General features: G+C 44.2%; 2 protein-coding genes across 2 annotated transcripts, besides 1 other annotated feature; one reads left to right on the forward strand and one right to left on the reverse strand.

The window, feature by feature from the left end:
• Positions 942–2,200, reverse strand: RNF113A (ring finger protein 113A). The gene has a single exon (NM_006978.3). The coding sequence runs from the start codon at positions 2,078–2,080 to the stop codon at positions 1,049–1,051; it is 1,032 nt and encodes a 343-aa protein (NP_008909.1). The 5' UTR covers positions 2,081–2,200; the 3' UTR covers positions 942–1,048.
• Positions 1,913–2,622: an enhancer, noted in NCBI's record as "active region_29902". NCBI's record gives its function as "activates an Ori minimal core promoter by ATAC-STARR-seq in GM12878 lymphoblastoid cells {active_cell/tissue: GM12878}" and the evidence as "EXISTENCE:reporter gene assay evidence [ECO:0000049][PMID:35858748]".
• NDUFA1 (NADH:ubiquinone oxidoreductase subunit A1) lies at positions 2,299–7,129 on the forward strand. Its single transcript, NM_004541.4, has 3 exons — positions 2,299–2,480; positions 3,771–3,860; positions 6,981–7,129. Exons 1-3 carry the CDS (start codon positions 2,379–2,381, stop codon positions 6,999–7,001), a joined length of 213 nt encoding a protein of 70 aa, NP_004532.1. The 5' UTR covers positions 2,299–2,378; the 3' UTR covers positions 7,002–7,129.

Below are 9,773 nucleotides of genomic sequence, written 5' to 3' on the forward strand. Positions count from 1 at the left end.
GTGTGATCAGCACTATTACAGAGACTGTGAGAACACAGATAGTTTCAGGTAATGGATGATAAAATATTGTTTTTGACCTCTGCAGGTTCACGAGTTCTGTCTACAATAGTAATGTCCAATACAGTGGTCAGACACATTTCAAGTGCTCAATAGCCACCTGGGGCTAGTGTCTGTCACACTGGATAGCTGAGCACAGATACTTTTATCACCCATGGACGTGGGGGTTAACTATAGCTGCTTCCAAGACAGCAAGGGAGCCGGGCTCGGTGGCTCACACCTGTAATCCCAGCACTTTGGGAGGCCAAGGCAGGTGGATCACGAGGCCAGGCGATCGAGACCATCCTGGCTAGTATGGTGAAACCCCGTCTCTACTAAAAATACAAAAAAAAAAAAAAAAAATAGCCGGGTGTGGTGGCATGCGCCTGTAGTCTCAGCTACGCGGGAGGCTGAGGCAGGGGAATCGCTTGAACCGGGGAGGCGGAGGTTGCAGTGAGCTGAGATCGCGCCACTGCACTCTAGCCTGGGCAAGAGAGCGAGACTCCGTCTCAAAAACAAATAAATAAATAAATAACCAAGACAGCAAGGAACATTTCCCATATGTGAAGCCTGTGGTGCTAGCTACCAGTTCCCCAAACACAACCCCTCTCCCCAACACCTTGGCTCGGGTATATTTTGTAGTACAGGCTCCCAAGAGAAAGAATGCATGAAAGTACTTTGTAAACTATTAAGTGATACAGAAATGTGATATAATAAACAGGCTCAGAGGTCTTGCTTTCATCATGGCTTTGGTTACTTCGAGCAAATTATAGCTCTTTTCTCAAACTACTCCCACCCCTATAATTTATGCCAAAGTGTTCTGAAAAGAAACACAGGCAAAATGGTTATCCTAGGGCTAAAAATCCTGATTATACCTACCTTGAAGCTTTTAATCCAGGACCCTACTTCACCACCCGCCTGCTCTGTCACTTTCTCTACAAAGGAAGGACACGAAGTAAGACTTCCAAAAGAACAAAACGTTTATTTTTTAAATTTAAGAATTATGGGAAACCTAAGTAATGGGAATTGCATCCTCATCGGGGTCTTCTGGCAAGTCGGAAGCACCACCCTCTCCTGTAGCTCGATGCTTCTCTAGTTTAGCAATCAATTCTTTCGCTGGATTGAAGACGCCATTGGTCTGCTGGTCACAGACATAGCAGCGCGGGGTGGTGCGGAAATGCTGCAGTGCACAGCTCTCGCAGAAATAATGCCTGCACTTGGTGACAACTGGGTTTTGGAAGCTCTGGCGACAGATGAAACACTTGAATGGTATTTCCTCATCATCGCTTCCCACTTCATAGTTTTCATCCTCATAGACACCATAGCGACCCTCATCAAGCTCACGTTCGATCTGCCACCCATGCTTGTAATCTGAACGGTCATGGAGGAATTTGCAGCTGTCTCCGAAGCCGCAGAAGCCAGTCTCTTTGTAGTCCTTACAGATGTCGGGCTGGTAATCCCAGCGCACGGTGGCACGTAGATGCTCGGGCGCTCGGATGGGGCCCTTCCTCACCATCCCGGAAGAGGCATTGCCCATAGACGTATCCTTGGGCTTCATGTATTTCTGATAATTGTTGATTCCCCGATAGATCTTGTCATCCTCCTTGCCCCTCAGCTCCTCCTGGATCTTCTGGCTGCGCTCAAAGATGGCTTGTGCATCGCGCTCTTTCTCTGTGTCCAGCTCATAGACAGCTGTCGCTCCCATATCCTCTGGTCCCACGGGTTTCGCCGAACGGGTGGATTTATAAACCACGCCGAGACTCTCGGGCTCATTTTCCTCTTCCTCTTCGCTGCTCAAGTCGCCGTAAGCCGCCTTCTGTTTACCACTGTCACGGGTCTTCTGTATCATTGGATTGTGGGTCACCCGCTTCTTTTCCGGTCGAACCACAGTGCAGCCTTCGTCGCTACTGCTGCCGCTTTCTCCGGGCTCTGGGTCGCAGGCCGGGCGCTTTCTGCGTCCAGCAGCCCCTTTCCGCCCAGGCTTTTTGAAAAGGAAGGTGCACACCTGATCCACCGCCTTTCCTGGAGAAAGCTGCTCTGCCATTTTAGAGTCCTGAGCTCCGAAACAGCCGTGGCTGCCTGGGTTGCACTTGGCCCCTGCACGTCACTCCACGTTGCGCGCTCCGCCGGGAGTCGAAGCAAAAGACACTGACGGAAGAGGACTGCGAGAGCCCGAGCGCCCGTCTCTCTTGTGCCCTAGCAGATTCCGTCGCTTCTTCCGGAGCCGTACGTGGCACCGCCCCGCTCGCGGGCGGCCGCGGGGCTTGCTGGGAAGAGAGGCGAAGCCAGGTCACCTTTCAAGGACCCAGAAGTAGGGTTTTGGCCTAGGTAACGGGGCAGAGATGTGGTTCGAGATTCTCCCCGGACTCTCCGTCATGGGCGTGTGCTTGTTGATTCCAGGACTGGCTACTGCGTACATCCACAGGTTCACTAACGGGGGCAAGGTAAGCCGGCTTCGGCCCGGGGGCCGACTCCACGGGCTGATTTCCGAAAAGGGTGGTGGGCAGGGAGACCGTCAGCCTGCGAACCCTCTCTCCGAGGTCGGCCCTCTACTTGCTTCCGGTTGCCTAGAAGCCGAGGCTTGCGAAACGAAGCCCGATAGAAACTACATCCTGCTCTAGTGAAAAACAGCGTTTCTGGGTGTATCAGAGTGGGCCTTAGGGCAGAGTAGCGACGCGGGGGCCGGGAAGGTAGATTAGAAAAGGTGGCTCAAGCCTGAGAATCGCTCACTGCAACCTCCGCCTTCTGGGTTCAAGAGATTCTCCTGGTTGGGCGCGGTGGATCACGCCTGTAATCCCAGCACTTTGGGAGACCGAGGCGAGCGGATCACCTGAGGTCGGGAGTTCGATACCAGCCTGACCAACATGGAGAAACCCCGTCTCTCCTAAAAATACAAAATTAGCTGGGCGTGGTGGCGCATGCCTGTAATCCCAGCTACTCGGGAGGCTGAGGCAGGAGAATCACTTGAACCCAGGAGGCGGAGGTTGCGATGAGCCGAGATCGCGCCACTGCACTCCAGCCTGGGCAACAAGAGCGAAACTCCGTCTCAAAAAAAAATAAATAAAGAAAGAAATTTTCCTGCTTCAGCCTCCCGAGTAGCCGGGACCACGCCTGGCTTTTTTTTTTTTTTTGTAGAGGCGGGGTTTCATCATGTTGGCGAGGCTGGTCTCGAACTTCTGACCTCGGTTGATCCACCCGCCTTGATCTCCCAAAGTGCTGGGATTACAGGCGTGAGCCGCCGCGACCGGCCACCCTTGACTTTTTTATTCCCCACTTTCTCTTGCAAGCCTTTAGGAATTTACTGCGAGATCTTGTTTTTTTACATCAGGATTCATTTTCCCCTCTTCCTAGTCCTTCACATCATCTCAAGAGTACAGGATATAAATTTATTTACTTTTTGATTTTGTTATTGTTCTTCACGTGTGATCTACAGCTGTTGTTTCTTAGTGTCCCAAAAGACAACAACTAGATATTTCTTTTTTTTTTTTTTTAAAAAAAAAGGAAAAAAAATTCATGTTGGTTAAAATAGTGTAAAAAGTCACAGGTACCAACTTAATCCTAAAGTTTAGTGGTCTGATTTTATTTAGGAGATTCTGTTCTTTGTACTACTAATTTGCATTTTTATTTAAACGATGATTCCATTTCTCTGGAATGTCCCTTTTAAAAATTGTAGTATCTATCAATTGGGTCACTCACTTTTATAAACTGCAACAATAATTGTCTCTTATTTGAAGGAAAAAAGGGTTGCTCATTTTGGGTATCACTGGAGTCTGATGGAAAGAGATAGGCGCATCTCTGGAGTTGATCGTTACTATGTGTCAAAGGTAAGATGCCACTCTGATGCCAGCCTTTTGCCAGGGTTGAGGTGGGTTCTGGTAATGCCTTGCCAAGGGTCATACAGTGCTAATATATAACTAGCATTTTCTTATCTACTAGTGAGGTTGGCATCTTTTTACATATTTAATCTTTTATATTTCTTTTTTTTTTTTAGTTTTTCTTCTGTCATATATTTCTTATTCTGTGGATTGTTGCCTATATCCTTTGCCTGTTCCATTGTCTTTTTCTTTTTGAGCTATGGTTCTTTATATATTCTAGACTTTAATTTTTTTGTCTATTTTATATATGACATTTTTCCCAGTCTGCTGTTTGTCTTTTTTACTTTATGATGTTTTTCATCAGGTAGTTCTAAATTTTGATATTCAATGTATCATGTTTTGTTGTTCTGGATTCTAGGTTTTTATGTCTCCCGTACAAAGGCCTTTTCTATCTAAGATTATAAAAATACTTTCAAAAAATAAAATAGAGACAGTCTTGCTGTGTTGCCCAGGCTGGCCCTCAAACTCATAGGCTCAAGTGATCTTCTTGCCTCAGCCTTCGGAGGAGCTGGGACTGCAGGTGTGCCACTATACCTGGCTCATAAAAATACTTTTAAAAAATAATTTCTCCTAATATTGTTAGTTTCTTTAAAAAATTAGTTATTTGGTTACATCTACAGGTCATTTTGGAGTATAATGTGAAAGGAGGATTAACTTTACTTTTTTCCAACAGGTAGCTAGTTATCGCAATTACCCATTTATAGAAGAGTTTAGTAGTCCTAGCTACTCAGAAGGCTGAGGCAGGAGGACAGCTTGAGCCCAGGGGTTTGAGGCTCCAGTGAACTAGGATCGTACCACTGCACTCCAGCCCGGGCGAGAGAATGAGAGCCTGTCTCAAAAAAAAAAAAAAAAAAAACCACCAAGCACCCAATTTATTTTTATTTGTAATACCACTCTGGTAAACTAAATTTCCATGTACACATGGGCCTGTTTCACGGATGTGCTTTTCTATACTCTAGGTCTGCCTATTCCTGCAACAATACTTCATTTAAAGAATTACTATAATTTTATATTTTGATTCAATTATGACATTGCCATTTTTGTAGGTCAAAAACGACCAAGCAGTAGCATTTCATAAGGCTCAACTTAATAGTATATTTTTTGTTTTTCTGTCTTTTTTTTTGTTTTTTGAGACAAGGTCTCACGCTGTCACTCAGTCTGGAGTGCAGTGGTGCAATCTTGGCTCACTGCAACCCCCGCCTCCCGGGTTCAAGCGATTCTTGTGCCTCAGCCTCCTGAGTAGCTGGGATTACAGGCACCTGCCACCATGCCCAGCTAAATTTTTTTTTGTACTTTTTGGTAGAGATGGAGTTTCACCATGTTGGCCAGGCTGGTTTCCTAACTCCTGACCTCAAGTGATCCGCCCACCTCAACCTCCCAAAGTGTTAGGATTACAGGCGTGAGCCCCTACTCCTGGCCCTAATAGTATGTTTTTATATTTTGTAGGAGTAGTTCATTCTCATACTTCTTTTAAAAATGTTTACTTTTTAATATTTTCTCCTTCCTCATTTATTCCTCACAACAAACCTAAGTAAATAGTATTTCCATTTTATAGACAAGGGTCAGAGTGATTAAGTAATATTATAAGGACTCAACCTGGGTGATACACCTCTCAGTAGAGAGGTAGTTGAGAATCTAATCCAATGAACATGATAATAGATATCTACTTATCTGGAGCCATATTTCTCAAAGTATGGTCCAAGAATAACCATCAGAATCACCTAGCATGTGAGACAGAATTAGGATTTCTAAGAGATGGCTCCAAGGAAGATACAGTTTTAACTTCTCTTAAGGCAGTTCTTCCTGTAATAGTAAACCAAATACCTGGACTATGTTATTTAATACCTAGAAGAAGTGTCATCACTGATGAGTCTTTTTTTTTTTTTTTTTTTTTTTTTGAGACGGAGTCTTGCTCTGTCGCCTAGGCCGGAGTGCAGTGGAATGATCTTGGCTCACTGCAAGCTCCACCCACCAGGTTCAAGCAATTCTCCTGCCTCAGCCTCACGAGTAGCTGGGATTACAGGTGCGCTGTAATTTTTGTACTTTTAGTAGAGACAGGGTTTCACCATCTTGGCCAGGCTGATCTTGAACTCCTGACCTCATGATCCACCCACCTCGGCCTCCCAAAGTGCTGGGATTACAGGCGTGAGCCACCACGCCAGGTGTAATCTTTTAATTTATAGCTTCTGAAGTATTTGGTTGTCAACTTAGTAAGATCCAGTAGGTATTTTGAATAGATAGTGTAGTGCTTGTCAGAGAAGGGTTCGGGAGTTGGGGTCCCTGAATTCTGGCTCTGCTAATTCCTTATGGACTTAAGCAGGTGACTTTTAACCTCTCTGAGCCTCCATTTCCTCATTTGTAAAAAAAATGGAATGAGAATAATAGTATCTACCTCATGTTGGCTGTTATTTTTTAAAACAGATTTTACCTTCTTGTCCTCTGACTCACTGAGGTGCTTTGTAAAAGGATCCAGGTGGAGGCCAGGCATAGTGGCTCACACCTGTAATCCTAGCACTTTGGGAGGCCGAGGCAGGTGGATCCCCTGAGGTCGGGAGTTCTAGACCAGCTTGGCCAACATGGCGAAACCCCTTCTCTACTAAAAATACAAAAATCAGCTGGGCATGGTGGCACATGCCTTTAATCCTAGCTACTTGGGAGGCTGAGGAAGGAGAATTGCTTGAACCTGGGAGATGCAGGTTGCAGTGAGGCAAGATCGCATCACTGCACTCCAGCCTGCATGACGGGAGTGAGACTCCATCTCAAAAAAAAAAAAAAAGGATCCAGGTGGTAAAGAGTTGCTTGACTTTAGTTCTGATTGGGGGTCGGGGAAGGTTTGTTTCATATAAAGCAATATGCTGCTGTCAGAAAATGAAAACTAGAAATCATTACAGGTTATTCTTTAGTGATTATAAAATTTAATCCAATGTATTGTTGCAGTTAGAGAAATGTGGGATGTGGAAGCACTCTTTTTAATAACAATGCCATTTAATGACACTGGAAATAAAAGTACATGGCATATCTTTGATGGGAACAGACTTGTCACATTCTCCTTTTTAAACTGTTTTTCAGGGTTTGGAGAACATTGATTAAGGAAGCATTTTCCTGATTGATGAAAAAAATAACTCAGTTATGGCCATCTACCCCTGCTAGAAGGTTACAGTGTATTATGTAGCATGCAATGTGTTATGTAGTGCTTAATAAAAATAAAATGAAAAAAATGCATTTCTTTTTTTTAAATATGTTACACAAAATCAAGCAATCTACCCAATGTAGTCTTTATCACTTAAAAAAAACTAGAAGGCAACTGTGAGGCTTGTATAGACATAATGTACATCCATAATGTACATCAAGCACCTGTCTCTGTGCCTAGCAGCTAATACTTCATAAATTGTAGTTGCTACTATTGTAATAGACACTAGTATATTTTATTTAACTTTATTTATTTATTTTTTTAGACAGAGTCTTGCTCTGTTGCCCAGGCTGGAGTTCAGTGGCTCAATCTCGGCTCATTGCAACCTCCGACTCCCAAGTTCAAGTGATTCTCCTGCCTCAGCCTCCTGAGTAGCTGGGATTACAGGCACCTGCCACTGCACCTGGCTAATTTTTATATTTTTAATAGAGACGGGGTTTCACCATCTTGGTCAGGCTGGTCTTGAACTCCTGACCCCGTGATCCACCTGCCTCGGCCTCCCAAAGTGCTGGGATTACAGGTGTGAGCCACCGGGGCTGGCCAGTTTTTATATTTTTAGTAGAGACAGGGTTTCACCATGTTGGCCAGGCTGGTCTCGAATTCCTGACCTCAAGTGATCCACCCACCTTGGCATCCCAAAGTGCTGGGATTACAGGTGTGAGCCATTTTGCCCGGCTGATATTAGTAAATTTTACAAACATAGTTTCTTCAGAGATGACCAGGGGAATACAGAAAAAGTATTTTTTTTCTAGTTCCTTTTCTGAGTGGATCCTACAATGTTTAAAATTCCAGTTGGTTAGGTTTGAGCTGAGAGGGGTGTAAGAAGATAATTCCAGGCCGGGCGCAGTGGTGGTGTGAGACAGGAGAATGGTTTGAAACCGGGAGGTGGAGGTTGCCGTGAGCTGAGATTGTGCCACTGCACTCCAGCCTGGGTGACAGTGACAGAGTGAGACTCCGTCTCCAAAAAAAAAAAAAAAAAAAATTCCAGTTGGGATATGTTTAAAACGGATTGCACCTTCAACCTTCATACATTCTGTATAGTATCTAACAAATAGTATATGCTTAAGTTAATTTTTGTTTTAGTATACAGCAACAGCAATCATTCGGTTTATTAAAATGAGAGTGTACTGAGCACTTGAAATAGAGATGCATGTTCAACATTAAAGGTAACCAAAGATGAAGATCTGAAAAGATAAAACTAAAGATGGTGATAACTCCATGTGTATAAAGCAACACCACAGATGACACTTCCAGGTGAGAATACTAAGTTGCTTTTCATTGCTTATCCAGTTTAACATTTGATCTGGTTACCTTGAACATGCCTGCACTGTGTGATTGCCATTGATCTAATTTTATAGGGCGGGGCTTATAGAAGGAAGTGGTGTTTAAACTTACAGTGGTGGCTGGATTGTGCCATCCCTTGATCGGCAATGACCTTTTACTTTTTACTGTATAAGGAAAGCCTGGTCATGATTACAAACTTAATAGAACCTGTATTATCATTTAATGCTTCACAGGCCTTGTGTAATTGACTGTTAGGAGAACTATCGCCGGCCGGGCGGTGGCTCACACCTGTAATTCCAGCACTTTGGGAGGCGGGTGGATCACCTGACATCGGGAGTTCAAGACCTGACTGATCAACATAGAGAAACCCCGTCCCTACTAAAATTAACAAAACTAGCTGGGTATGGTGGCGCATGCCGGTAATCCCAGCTACTCTGGAGGCTGAGGCAGGAGAATTGCTTGAACCCAGGAGGCAGGGGTTGCAGTGAGCTGAGATTGCGCCACCGCCACTCCAGCCTGGGCAACAAGAGTGAAATTCTGTCTCAAAAAAAACAAAAAACAAACAAAAAAGCTATCCCTGGAAAGGAAGGAAGAGGGCAAGTAGTACACCTAGGGAGTTGTGGATACAGAAGATGTGTTGAAAACATGACTTATCTATTACTACTTTTATTGATTTTTAGGTCTGTTATTTCTCCATTTTGCCTGTAGGCAGGGATCATCCCCTACATTTTTATGTCCTTAGACGACTGTCACAGCTACACAGCTGTATAGTGAGGGGCTACAAAATGACAGGTAGAGTTGGTTAGGTTCACGGTTAAGAGTCCAAATTCTTCACTGCCCTTTTTTGTAGCATCTGCTGTGAAATTGAGCTTTATTTTTGTACTCTACTGCTAGGGGGTGAGCCAGATTAAAGCACTTTGAAGATAGAAGATTTAACGGTGGATTTCTTTTATTTTTTCTTTTCTTTTTTTTTTTTTTCTGCAAGTGCAATTAGAAGGGTTTTCTTAAGCAGCTCTAACTGATGTGGTAAAGCTACTGATGTCAGATCCATCTGTCACCAGCTCTTAAGGCCTGTTAAAATGCTGCTTAGGAAACTATCCCATTTGCTCGGTTTTATTTACTATCATTAAGTTTTTAAAAAATAGATGTTATATTCACCTAGCTCAAAATCCAACAATATGAGGTATGCAGTGAAAATAGTTGCTCTAATCCCCTGCCCAACACCTGTCAATTGTCACACCACCCCAAAGGGTTTCTTTTTTTTATTTTTTTGAGATGGTGTTTTCGCTCTTGTCACCCAGACTGGAGTGCAATGGCGTGATCTCAGCTCACTGCAACCTCCGCCTCCTGGGTTCAAGCAATTTTCCTGCCTCAGCCTCCCAAGTAGC

The sequence above is a fragment of the Homo sapiens genome, chromosome X, assembly GCF_000001405.40.
Source record: "Homo sapiens chromosome X, GRCh38.p14 Primary Assembly".
NCBI lineage: Eukaryota > Metazoa > Chordata > Mammalia > Primates > Hominidae > Homo > Homo sapiens.

Excerpts from the sequence above, each read along its gene's own strand:
- RNF113A (NM_006978.3), bottom strand. The coding sequence starts at position 2,080 with ATGGCAGAGCAGCTTTCTCCAGGAAAGGCGGTGGATCAGGTGTGCACC.
- NDUFA1 (NM_004541.4), top strand. The coding sequence starts at position 2,379 with ATGTGGTTCGAGATTCTCCCCGGACTCTCCGTCATGGGCGTGTGCTTG. Across the intron at positions 2,481-3,770 it reads GGTTCACTAACGGGGGCAAG|GAAAAAAGGGTTGCTCATTT; the intron begins GTAAGCCGGCTT and ends TCTTATTTGAAG. Across the intron at positions 3,861-6,980 it reads ATCGTTACTATGTGTCAAAG|GGTTTGGAGAACATTGATTA; the intron begins GTAAGATGCCAC and ends ACTGTTTTTCAG.